The 24,244-nt window shown below is 41.7% G+C and overlaps 1 protein-coding gene across 9 annotated transcripts in view, besides 1 other annotated feature; it reads right to left on the bottom strand.

The window, feature by feature from the left end:
- Nucleotides 1-24,244, bottom strand: part of TSHZ2 (teashirt zinc finger homeobox 2) — a 522,973-nt gene that overhangs the window by 437,671 nt on the left and 61,058 nt on the right. The window lies entirely within an intron of this gene.
- Nucleotides 8,699-9,898: an enhancer, noted in NCBI's record as "MED14-independent group 3 enhancer chr20:51664301-51665500 (GRCh37/hg19 assembly coordinates)". NCBI's record gives its function as "activates an origin of replication core promoter dependent on BRD2, BRD4, P300/CBP and CDK7 cofactors, and independent of MED14, by STARR-seq in HCT116 cells {active_cell/tissue: HCT116}" and the evidence as "EXISTENCE:reporter gene assay evidence [ECO:0000049][PMID:35650434]".

Below are 24,244 nucleotides of genomic sequence, written 5' to 3'. Positions count from 1 at the left end.
ACCAGCTTCTCCTGGGCCTCTAAAAAATTCAAGGGACTTCAAATCCTTGGGGATATGACCAAATATGCATTGGTTGAGACATAAAAAGAAGTTATGATTATAATAAATAATAACAACATAAAAAGCAAATGAATTATTATGATTTCTTAAAAGAAAAAAAAACATACATAACCTGGCAAGTGGGTGCATTTTAACAGGCTTATTACTATATGGTATGGGAACTCCCAAAGGAAGGTTGTAGGGCGTCTGGGAAATTTCAGTGGTCTTGTTAGTGCCTGGCATAACTCCCAGCACAATGCCAGGGGCCTGGTACTGCAGATTCAAGTTCGGTCAAACACAAATTGAGTAAAAGAGGAAGATATAAATATGAGTAAAAATGGTGCATGCTTACAAGGTACTAGGTGTATTAGTCCATTTTCATACTGCTATGAAGAAATATCCAAGACTGGGTAATTTACAAAGAAAAAGAGGTTTAACAGACTCACAGTTCCACATGGCTGGGGAGGCCCCACAATCATGGTGGAAGGTGAAGGAGGAGCAAAGGCACATCTTACAGGAGAGCGGTGCAGGGGAACTGCCCTTTATGAAACCATCAGATCTCATGAGATTTATTCACTATCATGAGAACAGTACAGGAAAAACCTGCCCCAATGATTCAATGACCTCCCACCAGGTCCCTCCCACGACACGCGGGAATTATGGGAGCTACAATTCAGGATGAGATTTGGGTGGGGACACAGCCACACCATATCATTGAGAGAACAAAAATTACTAACAGACAAGAAGCCACTGGACAGATCCTAAGGTTCTGAATCATGTGCTAGAGATTCTAAGTCACAGAAGAGTTCAGGCACATGAGAGAGAGGAACAGACAAAAGGAGTTCTGAAGCATGTCCAGGTGCAGGGAAAGATGGGATTGGGCAGAGTGTGAGCATTTATTTCCAGCAGGTAAAATGCATGAGGTGACAAGAACACAGGATGGTAATCTGCAGCTGAGTGTGTGCTGGGGTTTGTGTAGTTGGTATGGAGGAATATGACGCAATTAAGCAGAGAAAAACAAAGAACCCTGTCCTTAGGTGAGTTGAGGCTTTAGAAAAAGAAACTCATTTATTTAACTAGATAGGGAGGAACCAAAATGTTTGCTAACTTAGAAGTCAGTTGAACCTGTAGTCTTTCTTTACTTGACAAATAAGAGTTAGCCCTTGATAACGACAACGGTATTGGGCGAAATGATACACAGAATCAATAGACTGCGATGTTTTCCAGTGGTTTCCCATCTTGGCTTTTCCTCATCCAGTTCAAGGGTCTGGTACTTAGGCATCACCTGTTTCAGTGTATATAGTTGGTCCAGTTTGCACAACCAGAAACAATAAAAAACTTGGCCTGATATTCCCTGTAGTACTGAAAAGCAGCAGGATCCTTAGGACCCACCTGCACAGAAGGACTTTAGGAGCCCTCTCTGCTATAAGAAAAAAGGCTGAAGCATGGAATTTATTAAGTTCACGCAACCAAAATATATTGTGTACTTACTGTGTTCTAGGTATAGATAAAATAACTCTTGAGGAGCTCAGATTCTAAGAGTAGAATTCAGAAACAAACAAGCAAACAAGTAAAAAATAAGTAATCTCAGATAAGCATTACTGTGAAGAAAATAAAATAGCAATGGAAAAGTCTTAGGTTGGCAAACATTTTCCATCAAGGGCCAGATAGTAAATAGTTTGGGACTCACAGGTCACACTGTCTCTGTTGCAACTGCTCAAGTCTCCTGGGGTAGCACAAAAGCAGCCATGGACAGGAGGTAAACAAATAAATGTAGCTGAGTGCCAATAAAACTTTATTTACAAAGCCAGACTGCAGGCTGGATTCAAACTGTGAGCCATAGTTTATCTGCCCCTGGGATAGAGAGCTGGGAGTTGGTGAATTTAGCTAAGATCTTCTGGAAAGATTTTTTTAAAGAGGTAACATGTCAGTTGAGACCTCAGTGATAAGAAGGGTCCAGCCATGGAAATATCAACTGAAAAAAATGTTTGAGAAGTGGAGAAAACTGATGCAAATGTTCCAACGAGAGGAGGAGTAAAAATGGGAATGGATTCATTACCTCTGGGTACTATAAATCACTCAAAGTTCATGCAAAAAAATTATAACTAACAGCAGGATTACAATAACATGTCCATAAATATAAAATCCCACACCACTTTTTGAAACTTTTCTCTTAATAAGTATCTGAAGCCTTGTCTGAATTATTGCAAATTTTAGTGAATTGTTTTCAAAATCCTGGCACAGTGAGATAATTTCACATCCAGTCCTGTCTCCTAACTCTGAACCTGGATGTGGACTACTTTGGACTCATTTAATCAAGAGCTAAGCTTGAGGGAAACCCAAATGTACTTAAAATGCACACTTAACACTCAAGAAATGCTCAACGAATGATTATAAGAAAACCAGGTTGATGATTTCAATATAAAACCTGTGGAAGACAATGGTGTGGATAGAGGGTTAATTATTTTTAGACCTGTTCATTTGCTTTTTTTGTCATCAATAGCAAGGGTTGAATTTAGCCTGAGGATAAAAACTGACAGCCCACAGATCAAGTTCAGCCTTCAGATTAGTGTTGTTCGGTTAGTTATCAACATTTTGAAATCAGAAGATTTGACATATAAATCTGGATTTCTGGCTTCCCTTGAGAGAACTGACCACACTGAGCCCTTCAATTCTCACCTGACAGTAATTGTCAGGAACTAAGCAAAAACACCTCCTTTAAATGAGCATGAGCATTCCACTTTGCCATAGTGTCTATCTGACCTGCTGGTTTTGTGGATCCTGAAGTTTTAAAAGCTGTATAGTGCCCATAGCCCATGAATACAAAATTCCTGGGGTGACTCCAATGCCATCTAACACCCTAACATAAGGGAGAAAAAAAGGAGGATGTCAAAAAGTGACAGCCCTATTAATGAATTAAAGTTAAACATCTTACTTTTGCAAATTTTATGAAAACATACAGTCTGGCACACTAGAACCCCTCCTAGGGCGGCAAAGACTCAATCTACATCTCTTGCTGTTGGCTTGCTACTTGCCTGGACTCTGTGGGCATGTGAGGTTTCAGATGTTTCAATGGAAGGATTTCTAAGTTCTCTTTGGGCTCTGACATTTTAAAGTTCTGCGGATTTGCTTTTGTTCACACTGTGTAATATTTTCTTAAAAGATTCATAGCACAAGCTACCTTCCCTTACTTTAGTCTTAGAATAATCTGCTAAATGAGCTTGACAATGGATAGGATGTGTGGATTTCTTTCAGTTGTTTGAGAGCAATCTAACACATCGAAGCTGCCAAGCATCAATTGAAAACTGAAAAATTCAGCCATTATCCTAAACAAGTGACAGGCAAATTCTTACACCATGCTGATGATCAAACAAATGACAAGTTTCTCTTTCTTTGTAACAAAGTTGGACCGTGGCTGCATCTGTGTGAAATATGAGTGAGAAGGGAGAAGTTTGTCAGGCTGCTCAAATCATGAGATAATTGCCCACATAGCTTTTGTGTGGGCCACCTTGTGGTACATCGTTCCTCGATTCGCTCCGGATCTGACTTCGATGTCTTTTCAATTCCAGAGCAAGGAAATATGTTGTCCAAACCCCTAAGGATCTTTTAATCTGGCACTCAATAAAATCAAAATGCTATTATTGGATACGTGGTCAAGAACTGTGATACAGAAAACACTATGAGTTCAGTTAGGGCGCAGTCACTAATTAGACAGGGTAGCCCCTTCCTCTCATGGCAATGGACAACATGGGACAAATGCAGTGGCTTTCACAGATACTGGAGTGATAAACTTGCCACTAACACTGAAATTCATAAAAGCCTGAGCAGACTTTTACTTTGGCATGGATCCCTTGCATTGAGGCATAATTTCTACATTTGCAGATAGTTCAAAAATGTTTTATGTATGCGCTATTTCCAAAGAGTCTTTTAAAATTTTCTTTCTCATAGTATAATCGGTTGTTATCCCTCCTATTGATTTCCCTAAAGAGCACAAGTCTCTTCCATTAGATATCGAGAAAAATATATATATATATATATACACACACATATACATACATATATAGCTTTTAAGACAAATGGAAGCAGTTTTCTTTTTCTTCCTTTTTTATTTGGAGGGAATAAGATGGTGGGGGAATGAATCCATTGTCTGCTACCTAGACCGTTCTCTTGGCTACCTTTTCACAGAGGACCTTGTTTGTCCCTGAAACCTAAGCACATTTGGTAGAGAAAAGGGAAATTCTGAATGTTATGAGGCTACAGATATGCAGTCATTGGCAAGGAACAAAAGTAATGGGTATAGCAGAAACAACCCAAATGTCCATCAACAAATGAACAAATGAATGAATAAATAAAGTGTGGCATATCCATTTCATGAAATATTATTTGGTAATAAAATTGAATGAAGTGCTGATACAACATGAACGAATCTTGAAAGTATTATGCTAAGTGGAAGAAGCCAGACACAAATGATCACATAGCGTAGAACTCCGTGTATATGAAAGGCCCCAAACAGGTCAATCTATAGAGACAGAAAGTCTCTCTACCAGTACCGGAGGCTGCCTAGGGCTCAGGGAAGGGAGGAAGGAGGTGTGAATGCTAAAGGATATGAAGTTTCTTTTTGGGGTGATGAAGATGTTCTAAATTAGATACCGCGACGACGGTTGCACAGCTACGTGAACATGCGAAACACTGTTGAATTTTATACTTTAAGAAGTGAATTTTATGGTATATGAATTGTATCACAATAGAGCTGTCTTAAGAAATGCAATCTAACAGGCATAATCCCACTTTTGGGTATGTATCCAAAATCAATCAAAGCAAGGTCTCTAAGAGATATTTGTACAGCCATATATGCTTGTATACTGTATTTGTAGTAGCATTATTCGTAATAGCCAAGAGGTGGAAGTAACCCATGTGTCCATCAACAGATGAATGACTAAACGAAATGTAGTATATGCATACACAGGAATAATACTCAGCCTTAAAGAAGAAAAAAATTCTGATACATGTTATCACAGAACCTTGAAGATGTTATGCTAAGTCAGCAGTACCCTAACCCTTTTAGGCCCCAGGGACTGGTTTCGTGGAAGACAATTTTTCCAAGGACTGGTGGCTCAGGGGAGGAAGGAGGTTTGGGATGAAACTGTTCCACCTTAGATCATCAGGCATTCCATCCTCATAAGGAGCACATAACCTAGATCCCTCACACGCACAGTTCACAATAGGGTTCGTACTTCTATGAGAATCTAATGCCGCACTTGCTGGTCCTCCACTCACTTCCTGCTGTGGAGCCTGGCTCCTAATGGGCAAAGGACTAGTAGCGACCCGCAGCTCAGGGGTTGAGGACCCCTGTGCTAAGTGAAATAAGCCAGTCACAAAAAGACAACTGTGGCGTGATTCTACGTACATGAGGTACCTAAAATAGTCAAGTTCTTAGAAACAGGAAATAAAATAGTGGTTGCCAGGATCTGGGGAGTAGGAGAGAATGGGGAGTTGTCATTTGATGGGTATAGAGCTTTAGTTTTGCAAGATGAAAAAGTTCTGGAGACTGGTGGTACAACCATGCAAATATACATGACACTTCTAAACTGTATACTTAACAATGTTCCAGATGATAAATTGCAATGTTATGTGTATCTTAATACACTTAAAAATGTTTAATTTTGTTCCAAAAGGTAATGGGCATATTATCTATGTGAAGCAACAGCTGCCTCGGTTTTCACATCCATCCACAATTGTTTCTTTCTCCTGCAAAGGTCCGTTCTATGGGTTCGCACCTTTCTTTTGATTAAAATCAAAAATTTGTCCTGCAACTGGACCCCATTTTAGAAGCAACATAAACGGAGACTCGTGTGAGAACTTGGCAGGGCTTGTGTGTGAGTCCAGCCTTGTGCAGTCGGAGCCCATATTCTTGATATTTTCCACTTCTGTGGCTCTTTTCCCAATAATTTGAAATGATTTTTGCCAGGTGGCAAGGCCTGTAAGTAACTCAGACAAGCCAATATGTTCCAGAAAATATTATGGAATAAATCAATAAAACTACTTGATATCTTGATGTTTTCTTTAGTTCTCTACAGCAAAAGAGCTTGAATACTTACAGGGCTCCAGTGCAAATCCACCTGAATTGTGTGTGTGTGTGTGTGTGTGTGTGTGTGTGTGTGTGCGTGCGCCACAGAGTAATATGATAAGAATATTTCTTTAGATTTGGTACCCACTCAAAAGTCATTTTTACCAAAATACATTCATTCCTCTGAATACAAGTGGTACAATATCTTTTTTTTGAGACACAGTCTTGCTCCCGTCACCCAGGCTGGAGTGCAGTGGCAAAATCTCAGCTCACTGCAACCTCCACTTCCTGGGTTCAAGCAGGTCTTCTGCCTCAGCCTCCCAAGTAGCTGGGATTACAGGCGCCAGCCACCACACCCTGCTAATTTTTGTATTTTTAGTGGAGACGGAGTTTCACCATGTTGGCCAGGCTAGTTTCAAACTCCTGACCTCAGGTAATCTGCTCACCTCAGCCTCCCAAAGTGTTGGGATTACAGGAGTCAGCCACCATGCCCAGCTACAATATGCTTCTTGAATAAGGAGTTCTGTTAGGAAATACTAAATGCTCTAGTTCCCACTTGGAGATCTGCAATGTGTATTAATCTATTGAAAGCTCTAAAGAGTTCTAGAGTAAAGATAGTAAATATTGTTTATCTATTTTGCCAGAATCAACAGACTGTTTTATCTTCAGGTGGCTTCTACCAACATCCTATGTATTCTGGAACATGTTGATACACGCAGCTCCCAAATAGTTATCTCCTTTCTGCAAATACTCTGAGGTTTACACACAGCACACCAAGAACTACCATTTAGAGGGAGGTGGTTGGATCTCCTATAAAGATCCTTTGATCTTAACACTTACTACCTTCAGCTCTTTATTCAGTTGCTTTATCAAAGACCCTTCCTAGACAACCCCTTTTAAATAGCAACCAACTCAACTCAACTTTCTCCATCGTCTGCTTCATCAGTCTTCCTATGACACGTCTCTGCTGACATTACACAGCTCCCTACGAATGTCTCTCCATCTAGACTCACAGCCCCGTGCGGGCAAGACATTCTTTGATTCATCTCTGAATCAGGAGCTGAGTCGTTATTGAGTCAATCAACACAATCAAGAGAAAACTTGGAAAATGGGGCAAATTATTAGTCATAATTTGTATCTAATGTATCAGACTAAGGTATCAGATGCTTTATTTGTGAAGACACTAACCTCATCATTGAAAAGGGAAGGTATCTTTCTTTGCAGACTTAACTCTGCTCTTTGGTTAGCAACAGTGAGAGTAAATCGGCAGCGGTAGTAAGAACAACTAAATATACCAATCACAAAACACTTTTTAAGTAGCCACTATATATAAACATTCATATATATACATACATATATATATATACATATATATGTGTATATATGTACATATATATGTGTATATATATATACACATATATATATGTGTATATATATATATATATATATACACACATATACATTTTTTTTTTTGAGATTGAGTCTCACTTTGTTGCCCAGGCTAGAGTGCAGTGGCACAATCTCAGCTCACTGCAACGTCCGCCTCCAGGTTCAAGCAATTCTCTTGCCTCAGCCTCCGGAGTAGCTGGGATTACAGGCATGCACCACCAAGCCAGGCCAATTTTTGTATTTTTAGTAGAGACAGGGTTTCACCGTGTTGGCCAGGCTAGTCTCGAGCTCCTGACCTCAAGAGATCCACCTGCCTTGGCTTCCCAAAGTGCTGAGATTACAGGCGTGAGCCACTGCCCAGCCTAAAGTACCTACTATTGATTCAAATGCTGCTTTTTTTCCCCTTAGGGCACTGTGCTGTGTGCTTCATTCACCATTTCTTTCTCCCTCCTTCCCCACCCCACCTCCCTTCGTCTCTCCTTTCCTTCCTTGTCTACTCTGAGAGGTGTTTCAGCAGTTTCAGTGTACAATCCCAAGCTGAATCCTAAGAATTCAAAGACATATATGACACAAGCGCTTCCTTTATGGAGGGCACTACCTAATGGTGAAGACAGTAAAACATAAAATGTCTGAAAAATCAAATTAAAGATAAACTAAGACTCCCTACGTCACTGGGGATGGGATGTGCCTCAGCTTGGGAAAAGTAAAGAGGCAATCATGAATGGTTCCTGGAGGAGGTGACCTCTCAGTTGAGTTTTAGGTTGAATATATGTTAACCATGAAGACGGGAGGGGTGGGGGCAGGAATTCGTACTGGAAGAGCACCGTGAATAGGAGCTGGGGGCCCAGTCAGAACATGTTGCATGAGGGAAACTAGAAGGAATCTGACATTGTCAGAACACAAAATTGGAGTCATGGAATGGTGAGAAAAGAGGCTAGAGAAGGGATTAGGGGCCCCTCTTTGGTCCTCATAGCTGCTTTGTTAGCTCAGTACCAATAGCCGATGTTCATCCAAGCCAGCTTTCCTTTCCTGCTTACAAAGGGCCTGACGCCCTTTGTAAGGGCTTCTGGGCATTTTACAAACACGATGTCAATGAATACTCCCAACAACCTCATGAAATAGATATGATTATTCTGTCCATTTCATAGGCATGAAGACTGAGTTTCAGACAGTTTCGGTAGAATAAAGAATGAATGAGAGAAATCCTGCCCTGGTTTACTGGCCAGCTGGGTGAATCTCTGACCTATTTTATTTTTATTTTAAAAATGTGCAGAGTTTGTTGTTATTGAAACCTGTGACGCAGGGCGTGTTGCACAGAACACTGGCAAGCCCAGTGGGTGGCTGGAGGTGTGTAGTGAGCAGCTATTAGAACCCCCCACTCACAAAATCCCATACAAAAGGGGAAAAAAGAAAAGCTTTTCTGCACTGAGTGAACTAGAAGCCATTTGCTGACTGTTTCCAAAGAGCCTGACTTGAGTTCTCACTTTGCAGACTGATGGTGATGAGCTGCTGGTGGGGCTCTCTATGGAGAGGGTCTGAGGTCATCCGCCGGAAACTTTCCTGCTGCCCACGCCCGGCAAATCAAAGAGCTGGTGGTAGGTGTTGAAGGGAGAGGGAGCTTTTCCATTCCACCCTTGATCAGGAGGAGGGTAATGGCTCTGATGATGGATTGCACGGAACGTGGATGCTAAAGAAAGACAAGCGAAGGGGAGATGGAAAGTGGATTGCCAAGTCCTGGGCAAAAGATGAGAGGGGAATGCCTTCCCAGACAGAGCAGGAAAACAATTATTCGTGATTTTGAAGAAAAGCAGTTCCGGCTAAGAAGTTATTATTTTGCTCTCTCTCTCTCTCTCTCCTCCCCTTCTTTTAAAAATGTAAGTAGGTGGAGGAATTTGTAACTTATGAAAACAAAGATCAAAGAACAACGGGAAAGGCCAGAAGTCAGAATGGGTCCTGGGCTGTCTTTGATCGGCTCTACCCTGGGGCTCTGGAGTCCATGTTGTGACACTGTGGCTCTCAGTTCCTCCTTTGCACAAGATGGAGAATGATGCAGAATGTTGAGCGGAGAGGAAGGTCAGCGCCAGCTGTATTCAAGCACAGAGTACCACAAAAGGCGCTGGGGGCAGACAGGCCTGAGATGGGATCGCCACTCAGCCACTTACGAACCTGTTTACTAACTTGGCCACATCCCGTCTCCCCTTCTGACCTCCGTTTCCACTGCCAATTAAAAGTGCGACGGTGTCTACCTTGCAGGGCTGTTTTCAGAGTCAGCGAAAATCTATGTATGTTTAGCACCTAACACCACATCCATGCATGGGGTATGCACTCCATGCATGGAACCTATTTTGATGTTGAAGGCAGCAGTAGTTTTAACACACAGGAATTTTATTATAAGGACACTCTCTTATCACATCCTCAGTAAAGAATGGTTTTTTTTTGCTCCAAAATGGCCCGTGACTGTATTTTGCTTGGTTGTCATAGTGTTTTTCTTAAGTCTGAATTACTTGTTGTAGCTTTGTTTCTTTTTTCTTTCACTCATAGATCTCCTGTTTCTTGGTATTTGACCACTCAGAATAGAGACTACATTTCCCAGCCTCTGTCAGATAGATACAGCTTTGTGGCAATGCACTAGACACTGAGCTGTCAGTGGAGGTAATATTTGTGATTTCCAGGTTATATCTTTAAAAAGAGGGGCCTGCCTTCCACTGCTTTTCCTTTCTTGCTGGCTGGAATGTGCATATAATGGTAGAATCCAGGGCAGCCATCTTGGACCATCAGAAGGAAGCCTTGTGTTACGGTGGCAGAGCAACCAAAGAGAAGGTACTTGGGATCCCAACACCAAGAAGTGTCCTGCTAGCTCTCAACCACTTACCGAGACTTTTATATCAGACCTTTATATAAGACAGAAACAAGCTTCTATTATACCTTAATAAAGTCATGTTATCTTTCAGGATATGAAGAGTTAGAGTCTGTTTTACAGAAGCCAAACCGGCATTGTTTAATGTTAACATTTAAAAATCAGGAGGTTTCAAATAAATATTATGCTTTTAAAATTTATCTTGAAAAATCAGAAGCAGCTGCAACACTGGAGCCATGTTTCCTTGTGTTCACATGTGTCTTCATATGAGGCATGCAGGATCCCTTACGCCTCTGTCTCTTTCCAGCACCTTCATTCAAACATGAATAGCCTTGAGACTCTGCCCTCTCCTTAGAGCGATACACAGGGATGGTTAATAAGAAAGCCACAGTGAAGTTACCCTGTTCATAACATGCATTAAGGGCTCATGAGCCAGACCTTTTGTGAAGTACACAGAATGCATCCTGTTAGTTCCACCTTCCCAACACCACAGGTTAGTATTAGCATCCCCACTTTGTAGACAGGTAACAGAAGTTTTGAGGGGGCACAGACTTGTTTAAGGTCATGGGGCTGAACGTCCAAGGCTGTCTGATTCCTGAACTTGTTCAAGCCTATACCTACTCTACTGCTTGGGCTGAGTTCCCAGGGTTTTGTTTTGTTTTGTTTTTTTTAATCAAATACTAACTCATTTGCAGAAATCTAAATGAATTTATGAAGAGGATTTCCTGAATAATTAACAGAGTTTGCTCCCTCTGCATTCACCGCAGACTTCTAGCAACTGTTTTCATTGTCTCGTTATTGGTGAATATTTTAGCTTAGGGTGATAATATCTCTGTCATCACACAGCATTGCTCAAGGCGAGGCAGCCTGCAGGGCAAGATAAAAATACAAATCCTGGCATTCAGCATGGGCTGGGGGTCCTTTTGCTAGCCACCATCGAGTGCCCTGGATGAAAAGACCAGTCCAGATGATGGCTGATGTTGGCGGCGGAGGTCACGTGGCTGTGGAGGGTTCTAGAACATCATTTCCTGGGAAGATTAATCAACAGATATGCACAGTTGGCTCACATCAGTGTTCTTTGGATGGGTTCAAGGCTAGAGCTTGCGGTTAAGGCTGTTCCCATGCTTGTCTCATAGTTTGGCTTCGTGTCTCCCCTCTTGCCTGCAGCCCCCTTGACAGATACACTGTCCAGACCCACTCTAAAGCACACATCGGGAATGCTTTGAAAGCTCAAGAAGGAATCTGGGGGCCCTCCTTGGATCTTGGAGTCACAGAATGTCAGAATTGGAAAGGACCTCAGAAAGCTTCTGAGCCGACCCTTTTGATTTATAAGACAGGAAACAGATACAGAGAAAGGAGCAGAGCTGGTCAATATCTGTCCATCAACAGCACTTACTGTATGACCCCATTTTTGTGTGTGTAAGTTAAAGGTACATGCAGAGTGGCACTTTGGAAAGATGACGATGATGGAACAGTTGTGTTGTCTCTGTCCTAGGCACTCATTTAAGTGCTTTATATGGATTTTCTCTTATGCCTCACCACATCCCTCCGGGATTACTACCCATAGGTAGAGAAGCTGAGGTGCAGAGAGTGAAATCCACTCAGCCATAAGGGTGGTTCCCAGATTCGAAGCCAGGTTATCTGACTCCATGGGTGAACTGTTACCACTGGATTAGACTTTAATTCAAAAGTTGCCAATCCAAATTCCTACAGGGACAAAGCTGATTCCTTAGGTGAATGAATCAGGATAGGTAGAGCCTGGGAACTGAGGGGGAAATGTCTCGTCTAAACGGAGTCACTATTCGTGAGTGCCCCCTTTCCTACACCATGCATATTGTCCCAAGGTCCTGTGATTTCTCAAAAGGATCCAGGAATTCAGATGTGCACATGATGTTTACACCAACTACCAGTGGACTGTGGAAATCACTAGAACCATTTGCAAATATCCTGGGTCTCTTCTCCTTTTGGATTCTCATGTGTATTTTCTGGCTGCACTTCCCCACCCTTTTGAAATCACGGAAGGTTGAGAGAAATGTGACCAGAAGTGAGGACGTCACTGTGAGAGTCAGCGTATGACCCGCTGTACTCTTCCCTTCTCACAGGGGCAGGCCATGCTGGTGTCAGATGGTGGCTGCTCTAGTCATCTGGAGTCCCAGAAGAAGCCCTCAGTTGACCCACTGTGGGCATGGAGTGTGAGTGGTAAATGCATCTTTGTTGTTTTAAGCTATTGAGATTTGGGGATTTTTCTTTGTCACCACATAACTTATCTCATCCTGACAAATATGAGAATTAATTTTTTAAAAATAAAGGGCTGGGTGCAGTGGCTTGCACCTGTAATCCCAGCACTCTGGGAGGATCACTCGAGGCCAGGAGTTCAAGATCAGCCTGGGCAAAAAAGTGAGACCCCGTTTCTACAAAAATTTTCAAAAAATTAGCCGGGCATGGTGGTGTGCACCTGTAGTCCCAGCTACTCAGGAGGCTGAGGTAGGAGGATCCCGTGAACCCAGGAGTTCAGGGCTGCAGCGAGCTGTGATTGCATCACTGTACTCCAGCCTGGCCAACACAGTGAGACCCCATGTCTAAAAACAAACAAAGAAAGAAAGCACCCCAAAACATACAAGCAGCACTGTCTGCATCCTTAAAGGTTGGGGAACTGGGGCTGGGGTCCAAGAACTCTGTGACTTACACTTCAGAGTTGGTGAAGGGGGTGCTTAACACAGGCCACTTCAAGTCTTGGTCCTTGGCTCAGCAACTTCCTTCTGTCCTGGAGCCACTGACACGCTGATGGCCGTAGCTAGTGTCTTGCTAAGTGAGAGCTACTGGTGTCACAAGGACCATGACAGATTTTACAGCACACTTTTCCTCCTCATTAGAAACTTCACTCGCAGCTCACTCCACACCAGTCACACTCAGTATCATCTTGCACTCAGAATGTTGATGTGTCAAAACCCAACACACCATGGCTACGCTACAGAGCGGAATATGACAGAAGATATGTGTCACAGGTTGTGCATCTCTAATCTGAAAACCTGAAATCCAAGACTCCAAAATCTGAAACGTTGAGAGCTGATATGACGTTCAGAGGAAAGGCTCGTTGGAGCATCACAAATGTCAAATATGTGAATTAGGGATGCTCTTTGCACGTATTCCAAAATCTGAAACAATCCAAAATCAGAAATACTTCTGTTCCTAAGCATTTCAAACAAGGGATACTCACCCTGTATCTCCAAACTGAAATGTGAATGCCCGGTGAGCAGGAAGTATTTCTGTTCGGAGGACAAAATGATGGAGTACATACCCTCTCATAGAGAATGAAGGATTACTTAGGAAACTTACCTCTTATCCCAATTAAAGAACTGAAAATATAGCTCAGTGCTTTTTCTTTGAGTCTCCAGCGAAGTACAGATGTTTGAGATTAAGCAATTTAATATTTCCAGAAACTATTAAATTTGTTTACCAAGGTTCTAGCTGGCATTGGCTGTCCATGAAAACAATGAGCTTCCCCAGGTATCAGTTTTTTTTTTTAATCTGTGAGATGGGACCTATATTATAAGATTGCCTATCTTTGAGACTGAAAGATAAATATATACAAATCCTATATTCGAATGAAGAAATTGTTCTGGTAATGGAAGAAAAAGTATATTATGTCCACATGGCCAAAGTATTAAAGTTGTGACTTTGATTTGATCTATGAAGGCAGCAGCAGCAATAATTCCACTCAAGTATCAGAATGGAGACTATGTTTCAGAGATTTTTTTTTTAAGTGCAAGATTAATGAATGCTTATTATAATAAACTCAGACACTTAGGGTTACAAGCAGAGTTTCTCAATCTTGGTGCTATTGGCATTTTGGGCAGGATGATCCTACATTGTGAGGGCTGTTCTGTGTAATTGATAATATTTATCAGTATTCCTGGTCTCTACCTAATAGATGCCAGTAGCAAACCCCACTCCCTGAGTTGTGACAACAAAAACGGGGACATTTGGTAATGTCCCCTGAGAGGCAAAACCACCTCCTGTTGAGAACAGTATAAATAAGGCATATAAAGTATAACTGAACATCCCTTCCCCAGAATAAAAACTTCCCTGATGTAACCACTGTTACCAGTTTCATTTATATTTTTCCAGCAATTTTTTTATGCACAATCAAATTTACATTCACCTTTATCCCGTCTCCATGCAGACATAGATGCTAACTTTTTTCCCCTAAAACTGGAATTATGCTTTCTTTGCCAACCTAAAAAAATTAAAATATTTCTTATTTACCTGTCCACATGCCTGTATTTAGAGGTTCTGCCTACTTTAAGAAACAGTGACACTGCACTCCACTGGAATCATGCACTCTAATTTATTTAACTGACTTTTTAGTGATGGACATTTAAGTATTTCCAGCTTTCCCTACTATAAACAATACTGCATTGAATATTTTTTATATTTACATCCTTGCACATTTGTGCCAGCATTTCTAGTGGAATTGCTGGATCGAAACATATGCACTTATAACAATGATAGATTTCCGCAAATTTTCCACTAAATCCCCAATAGATGTTTTAGCCTCCTTGGTAGCCTTGGAAGCTTGGAATTCCAGTGTTTTTTTTTTTTTTTTCTTCTCTACTTCCATAATAGTGTAGTAGTTAATAGCATGGATAAATGTCAGTTGTTCTGAGGCTGAGTAACTGACTTTCACTTTCTGAAGTGAAAGAACTCGAAATTTGAGTCCCAATTCCATCATTCCCTATGATCTTCATGTTTCATTAGGCAAATTGTTTAAACTCACTTTCCTCATCCATAATAACAATAATAGTACTGCCTCTTTCAAAGCATTGTCAGAATTTATTGAGATTATATATAATAATAGCAGTGTGTGTATATATACGAATGTATATGCCTAGCACACTGAAGTGATTTCTCACAGTTAATAATAAAAATCAAGGGAGTAGGAGGTTCAGAAAAAGTAACGCCAAAATGTGTATACAATCTAACAATTAAAGAACATTGTGTTGCCAGATGATTCAGTACCCTCTAAAAAGATGAACTTCAGATGATCCTAAAATGAACATGATAGAAGGAAAAATATTTTCCCTCACCAAGGAGATTGTAATTAATGTTTGAATCACTCGATGCTTATGAATCCAGCAGAGGGATAAATACCTATATTTATATACATACACACAGAAGATATTAATATATATGCTTTTGAAACATGCCCCCACACATTTATATAAGAGAATGTCATGGGCATATGTTTTTTTTTTCCCACATTTGGGTAATATGCTGCAATGTAGGAGAGGCTTATTTCCTTCCAGGAAAATCTCAGAATGCTCCTCTCTGTTCTTGCTGGGAGGAACTTGCCACCATAATCAGATTTCCTGGAAAACAGACTTCCAATTCACCTGAAATGCTTCAAAGAAGTTAGAAGAAGGAATGAGCTCATGCCAGTAGGGCTGCTTTAGGCAGTGGGTATCAAGGATCATCTCGATCCTGTTTTAACACTTTTCTTTCAAGTTTCAGGAGACTCGTGGCATGGATTTTGCAGAAAGGCGAATCTGTATTCAAATGCTGGCTCTGCCACTTACCAGCTGCATACTTTTGGCCAGCTTAACTTCTCTGGGCCTCACCTTCTTCATCTGCAGTGTGGGATAATTACTATGCCACAGGGTTCTCCGAGGATTAACTAAAAGAGTGAGCGTGACTTGGCATCTGTTATATTAGCCTATCCAGTATCTGGTAATTTGACCCTAGTCTTCCTTGAGAAACTGTCCCCTTTATGTCGTTGGTCCTGGAGGGTCACATGGGCTGACTCCTAGGCTGGCTCCAGGGCTGAATGGGTGACCCAGAACTGGCGGATCAGAGAACTGCATTCCCTGGGCAAAGCAACAGGCTTAGGACTGGGCATGGAGACTCAATTCCCAGATGTCTACTAGAAATGTTAAAAAGTAAATCTGGGCTTATTGAGATATTAGGATGTAATCTGATTTTGGCATCTTGCTAGGTCCTGAGAATAGAAGTTTCCAGAAGAAAGCAGAGATGGAAAGAATAAGACCTAATTCTGATGAGTCATTTGAGCCCTTATGTCCAACTTGGCAACGCCAAGGCCTCCCCGGCCTTTTGGAGACATGGGCCATAAATTAATCTTCTTGATTTAAACCCACTGGGTTTCCAATCACTCGAAACTTAGAGTCCTCACTAATAAAATATGCAAAAGGTTCAGTCCACTGTCTGGTAATTAGTGCACAAGGAGCCGGGTGGGCACTTAGGAGACGGCTCAGCTTCCTGCAGAGACTAACCAGTTTCGTTTCCCCTTGGCACCTGAGAAGAGAGGGCTGACTGACAATGCCAGGAGATCAGGTTCATGGCACGGTAAAGAAAGCAGCTGCTGTGTGAATAGGAACAACAGGAACCCTGAGCCCAATTTACTCATACTTGGCACCGTGCCAGGCTGTGGGGTGTCAAACTCGGGGAGGGAGCAAATGCTGCGCCTAAGGAAGGCTGAGCTGATGCAACCTGGGCCCCACTGTGGGATCAGCTGGAAGACACCGCACCTGGGTAAGGGTCGTTGGGTCCAAGGGTGGACACTAAGTCCCCAAACAAACAGGAAAAACAAAACAAAATGGACCCTGCCACCAGGTCAGGGCTAAGCCCCCACAACCAGGCTTCCGTGAAAGGCTAAGGCCTCACTTTGATGATAAAATGCACAGGGAAGAACACGTGGCCAGGGACAGATGCAGCAATGATGGGTGGGGGGACGGGGTGGGAGCAAACTGCACTCAGAGAGCCCAGTTTGTATCCCAGCTTCTCTGCTCTCAAGTTGTGTAACCTCATTCATTTATCCATGCCACCCCTTGGCTCAAAACCCTTCCATGGCTCCCATTGCATTTGACACCAAAGGCTGAGATATTTAGCACAGCCCACAAGCCTTTGCACCACTTACCCCACACCTGCCCTCTGATTTAGCCCTCCTCCCTCCACACCAGCCACACAGGTGCCATGCGGCTCCAAATTGACCAACATGACTCTGCCCCAGGACTTTTGTGCTTCTTCCTGGAACATGTTTCTCCTAGACATCACCATGACTTGCTCCTTTACTTCATTCAGGTCTCACCTTGTCAGACAGGCCTCGTCTCTGGGCTGATTGCTTTACCCCACCACCACTGTGCATCTCTCCCTGAGGTCCTAACTAACTATTCACTGTTTTTGTTTTTTTAGACGGAGTCTTGCTCTGTCTCCAGGCTGGAGTGCAGTGGCTCGATCTTGGCTCACTGCAGCCTCCGCCTCCTGGGTTCAAGCGATTCTCCTGCCTCAACCTCCCGAGTGGCTGGGGCTACAGGCCTGCACCTCCACGCCTGGCTAATTTTTGTATTTTTAGTAGAGACAGGGTTTCACTGTGTTAGCCAGGATGATCTCAATCTCCTGGCCTTGTGATCCGCCCACTTTGGCCTCCCAAAGTGCTGAGATTACAGGTGTGAGCCACCACAGCCGGCCCTCTTCACTGGTGTGTGTGTGTGTGTGTGTGTGTGTGTGTGTGTTTGAGATGGAGTCTAGCTCTGTCACCCAGGCTAGAGTGCAGTGGCACAATCTCTGCTCACTGCAACCTCCTCCTCCCAGGTTCAAGCAATTCTCATGCCTTAGCCTCCCCAGTAGCTGGAATTACAGGTGCCTGCCACCACACCCAGCTAATTTTTTGTGTTTTTAGTGGAGACGGAGTTTCACCATGTTGACCAACTATTCACTCTTTTGCTTAGTATCTGTCTTTCCCTCCTAGAGTAGAGATTTTTATTTGTTTTGTTCACTGCTGTATCCCCAGTGCCTAGAGCAGTGTCAAGTGCACAGAAAGAGGCCTATAAATATTTGTTCAATTTATTTGGTTAACACATATTTAATAAAGATCTACCTGTACCAGGTGTGAATACAACAGCATCGAGAGAGAAAAAGGTACTGACACTTGTTGTTGAGAAATATTCATGTAGACAAATTAAAGAACAACAAGAGTGTGGAAAGTTCTCTGGGGTGATCAAGGATGGCTGGGAACAGGGAGTATTTTTAATCAGATGATCGGGGTAGGTTCCAAAGTGGATGAAGTCACTGAGATGGTGAGAAAGCACATCCCCCCATGTGTAGACCAAGAAGGAGAAGGGTTCCAGATGGCAGGAATGAAAAGTGTAGGGAGGTGGAAGTGGGTGGATCACCTGAGGTTGGAAGTTCGAGACCAGCCTGACCAACACGGAGAAACCCTGTCTCTACTAAAAATACAAAATTAGCCGGGCATGACTGTAATCCCAGCTACTTGGGAGGCTGAGTCAGGAGAATGGCTTGAACCCGGGAGGCAGAGGTTGCTGTGAGCCGAGATCGCACCATTGCACTCCAGCCTGGGCAACAAGAGTGAAACTCCATCTCAAAAACAAACAAACAAACAAACAAACAAAACAAAACAAACAAACAAAAAAAAAACAAGAAGTGAAAAGGCCCTTGGACCCAGAAGAACTTTGTTAGAATACCTATTCTAACAAATACATATGTCTGCATGAGTATCTCTCAATAACAACAGTCAGTACCTTTATCTCTCTGGATGCTCTTTTATTCACACCTGGTACAGGTAGACCCTCATTAAATATGTGTTAAGCAACATGTGTTAAAAAGCGGTTGGTGTAGCCAGAGGAAGGAAAGGCTGGACATGGGACAAAGTTAAAGAAGTAGACAGAATGAGAGCTTGGGGAGGCACCTAAAGGAGGGGCCAGGGTTTGGGATTTTCTAAGAAAAGGCAGCCATTATGTCATCACTTTCAGATCCATTTCTCCTGTGAAATGGAGATGATCAATACTCTTAGTGAGAAGAGGATTCAGCAGGAAAGGCATTCATCATGCCTAGCACAGTGCTTGGTAGGAGTAGACAGGCCGTAAACAGCAACCCTCCACTCTTCCCCAGGGGAGAAACCCAATCTTCCTGTAAGGCCCAAGTTAGCTGGGATAGTAAGCTTCTGCTTCTCAAACCCAAAGGCTTATTGATGGAGATGACTAGAAATGAACTTTAAGGATCAAGCAGGTTTCAAGTACAACATTCAAATTCTGGGCAGTTTCTTTTTTTTTTTTTTTTTTTTTTTTTTTTTTTTTTTTTTTTTGAGACGGAATCCCGCTCTTGTCGCCCAGGCTGGAGTGCAGTGGTGCGATCTCAGCTCACTGCGACCTCCGCCTCCCGGGTTCAAGCGATTCTCTTGTTGGGCAGTTTCTTTTAGCCCCGGGCAGGCTGTCGTTCCCTCCCCGAAGGTGATCCTGCGGTACACTAAACACGCTGTCCAAGCTTGGAGCTTGTCAGCACAGTGAATACGAGCATGAGCGACAGACTGAGATTTACCTGAGCGCATGTGGAGACCCAACCAAGCAGACCCAGGCATTCTGTCCTGGCAGACTCGCCCTGCTCTGCACACAGGCCCCTGTGCATCTCATGAAGTTGGGTGTGGAGAGAGGGTGGACCAGATGCACACAGGCAAGTCCTGTTGGTAGCGGATGATCCAGGGCCACCGGCCCTGCCCCAGCACCCAGGCACTGCCGAAACAAGTCTCCCGGTGCTCACAGCAGCCAGAGGGGAATATCGTTTTATTTAAGCAAAAAGCTTCATTCATAGAATTCACAACTGGACAAATCAACCGTGCAACCTCTTGACATTAAGCAGGTCAAAATCTGTATCTTCTATGACCCCTAGAAACTTACCCGTAAAAATAGGTCTGATCAACAGCCCCAAGCCTGGGAAGAACATAGATGGAAATACAGAAATACTTAATTAGAGAATATTTTGCTTAGGGGATGATTTGAAGATCTATAGAATTTTTTCTTACTTAAGAGCTATTTAGTTTCAAAGAAATGTATTTTTGTTTGGAGTCTTAGGTCCATGTCTTTTCACGTTTTTAAGTCTTTTAAGTCGCAGGAGAAAACGCTAAGAGAACTTTGAAATACTAACCAGGATTTCTGCTTATAAGCCACAGTTTGACTTAGGGATTTCACTTTTGTACAAAAGAATGTTTTATTGTGTGCAGAATAATCTGACTAGTGATAGCACACGTGGAGCCCTTTCTGCCTCTGCTTCCTGAGCGCTCACTGACCCGTGCCTGAGTGACCTGGCAAGGGTGACACTGGCAATTATCAGGAAGCCCCGACCTCGGAGGCGGCGCCTGAAAATTCATCATAGGGAAAGAATCTTATTTAACTGACAGGATGTTCCTCATAACAGAAATGATCAGGGAAAAAATAAATAAATGCAACATTAGGAGGATTATAATACTAATACACTGCACTAATACCATAATTAAATACAATACTATCAACTTAAAAAGTGAAATATTCAGCAGCTATTAAAATGTAAAGGAATATTTAATGACTAAACTGATATTCATGAAACTAAGTAAAAAAGCAAAATTACAGCAAATATAAGCAATATGATTCCATTAAAGAGATGTCTATCTACACATATATAATATAAAGTTTATGTGAAATAATGTTTGTTATATATGAATATGTATTGTTACATGCTTTTAAAATATATAATATATACTTTATGTAATATATATAATTATATAATATATATTATAAATACATATATAATATACATACATATACATAGTAATACATACACATATTATGTACAGATTATAAATATCATATATAATATATAATGTGTAATGCAATAAACCCAACCTCTCTATATTATATATGATATACATAATAAAATGTAGAATACATTTTTACTTTTTAAAACTTCTTTTATTTCTAATTCTTTCTAATATATATGTGTATTTATTTCTAATATATGTGTTTATATATGTGTGTATGTATATGTGTTTCTATTTCTTTCTAATACATATGTGTATATATGTGTGTATGTATACGTGCATATACATACACGTTATTAAAGGTACATTCAAAATGTAAATTTCCTGTTATAATATGAATAATAAAAGTTATTTTTATAACATTTAACATCACAGAACATGACTTGCTTATTCGGATCACAGTGTCTTGCACAAAGCAGATACTTAATTAATGTTTATCATATTGAGAAAAGAAAAAGCAAGGTAAGAGAATAGAATCATTTCAGCAAGGAATAAATAACTCCCAAGCCTCACGTGAAATCCTGAGTACATGTGGGTCAAATTAAGTGGGTACATCATAAATTTTTACTTCATTTGTTGCTCTGCACACAATAGCATATTCAACCTTTTTCTGTGGTCGAGAAGCGGAATTAGTCATTGAGTTAGAGGAAAATTTTACTTGGTAATATGGCATTGAAGGATTATTTGTGAAATGTCTTTCCTAAAGATCAATAAACATATTTTATATTTAAGTGAATAATATGTGTATATTTTCTTAATCACTGATATTCTAACAAATATGTATAAAAAATATACACTTATGAATAGGTCTTCAGTCAGGAATATCTATCTGATGCTAATGGTTTGATGTGCACTTCTAATCTTTGTAGTATAAAAGTGATCCTAATGTGTCTGTCACCTACACTCCGCTGCTACACAAATAGCTACTCTCTGCTATGAAACCAATGAACTCTGCTTTCTTTTATAGAGATTCTTTGATACTTGTCTTCCCCATTAAACTGAAAGCTCCCTGAGAGTAGGGACTGTTATCTACCTCCCTTTCCTCATATCCAGCTTGGAGCGACATATATGGCAAATTCTAGTTGAATAAATAAATCAATAGATCATGGCATCCTATTATATTCCTACGGGGAAATAATATTTTAATTAATATACCACAGGAAATATTCACTATATTTCTTGATTCCTATCTTGCATCTGGTGTGTACTGGTTTGCATTTAATTTCCTCTTGAGTTTTTATAGCAAGTTCCTTTAAAACCTTTTATGACACTAAGTGGACCCATGTAAATATTGAATTAAAAAACTAAAAAACAAAAAAACAAAAAACCTCATCCCAGAAATCAGTCTCTGCTGCATTGCCTCTTTCCCTTGAACCACTGCTGATTTCACCTCTACTGGGAGTCAGAGGTGAGGTTCCTGATCCCCAGATCAGTCTCACAGGAGAAAAGAGGACTCATTGCTATGGAGATCAAGGCACCCAGCAGCAAATCACAGAGGAGAGTGGAGAAGCAACCAGAGAATAAGAAATGCAACTTGAGGCTTCCAGGCTTGTAGTCGTGTGGGCTGACAGAGGCCAGGTGCCTTCTCTCTGCTTCACCTCTACTACATCCTGTGGTGCTGCCTGCAAACCACGTCCTAAGTCGTTCATGCCTCCCTCACCACTGCCATCCTCTTTGTTCCAGTGATAATTATCTCTTTCTAGACAGGAGTCTCCTTACTTGCCTTCCTGCTATCCTGATCTCTATAATCTTCACAGCTGCTGGAGTAATCCACCTTGAAAAGGAAGTGAGACTCTGCCACCCAGCTGTGAAAACCCTGCCAATCGTTTCCATCACACTCAGAATAAAATCCAAATATTTTATCCTGACCTATAAGATCCTGCAGGAGTGGGCTCTTGAGGATCTTGGACTTTACCATGGGCCATTCTCTTCATTGTTTGTGGTGTGAAAAGAACCCTGGAGCAAACATTTCTGCCTTAGGGCCTTTGCCCTTGCTGTTCCCTCAACCTGGAAGCCCTCGCCCTCAAATCCTGGCATGCTTGGGTCCTTCTTCTCATTGGTAACTGTTTTCATGTTCCTTCCTCAAAGGAGCTTTTCTTGATTACCTCCTGTAAAATAACTTCCGACTCACAAACACATTATTCTATTTTATCTTCTTGGAAATTCTATTTCACCAAAAGTCATCATGGTTATTTATTGTCCAGCCTGCCCACCAGTTCGTCATCTCCCTGAAGCCAGGGATCTTGTCTGTCTTGCTCACTCTTTATCCCCAGTACCCAGTGCCTGGCACAAAGTAGATGCCCAGTGAGTAGATTTTCAATACCTCTATGGGGCAGACACCTTATTTTGCAGCACTATAATAAAAGCTATTGATAATATATATAAGCCAACAACCCTTTAATGCAGCTGTTATTACAAATAACTTGTAAATGAGAAAACTGAGCCTCAGAGAAATTAAGTAACCTGTCCAAGGGGGCATCTAGCTAGTGTTTCCAAGCCTGATTTGTACCCAGTTCTGACTTCAAAGTCCATGCTCCCACAAGTCTCTGTCTATTGTTTCCCACGTGTTGATTTACTAGTAAACAGTGTATTATTAATATAGTAAGCTCAAGCTAGTCATTTACTCATTGATTCATTCGAGAAGTATTTATCGAGAATATAATATGTCCTATGTCCTGTGCTACGCTCTCCAGATATCTGAGTCTATAAGGCTGCCAAAATCCTCTTACTATTTAAAAAGTGGCTTTTGGCAGGGCACGGTGGCTCATGCCTGCAATCCCAGCACTTTAGGAGGCCAAGGTGGGAGGATCACCTGCGGTCAGGAGTTCGAGACTAACCTGGCCGACGTGGTGAAATCCTGTCTCCACCAAAAATACAAAAATTATCCAGGCCTAGGGGTGCATGCCTGCAGTCCTAGTTCCTCAGGAGGCTGAGGCAAGCAAATTGCTCGAACCAGGGAGGTGGAGGTTGCAGTGAGCCGAGATCACACCACTGCACTCCAGCCTGGGTGACACAGCAAGACCCTGTCTCCAAAAAAAAAAAAAAAAAAAAAAAAAGCTTTTTATCAATCAATGCAGAGGGCGACTAAAACAAATTCCTGGCATAAAAACAGCAATTATTGAGCACCTTCTATGTGCCAGCCACTGACCTAGGCCCTTGGATTATACAATCCCATCTGCTCCTTGCAGGAGACGTTAGAAGGCGGATCATGCTTATCTCAATTTAATGATGAAGATACTGTGGCCCAGAGTGATTAAGTGACTTGCTTACATAGGTAGTCACTGGTAGAGCT

This window comes from Homo sapiens, chromosome 20 (genome assembly GCF_000001405.40).
Source record: "Homo sapiens chromosome 20, GRCh38.p14 Primary Assembly".
Classification (NCBI taxonomy): domain Eukaryota; kingdom Metazoa; phylum Chordata; class Mammalia; order Primates; family Hominidae; genus Homo; species Homo sapiens.
The sequence above is the reverse complement of the archived record's forward strand: the minus strand, read 5'-3'. Positions and strand labels throughout refer to the sequence as shown.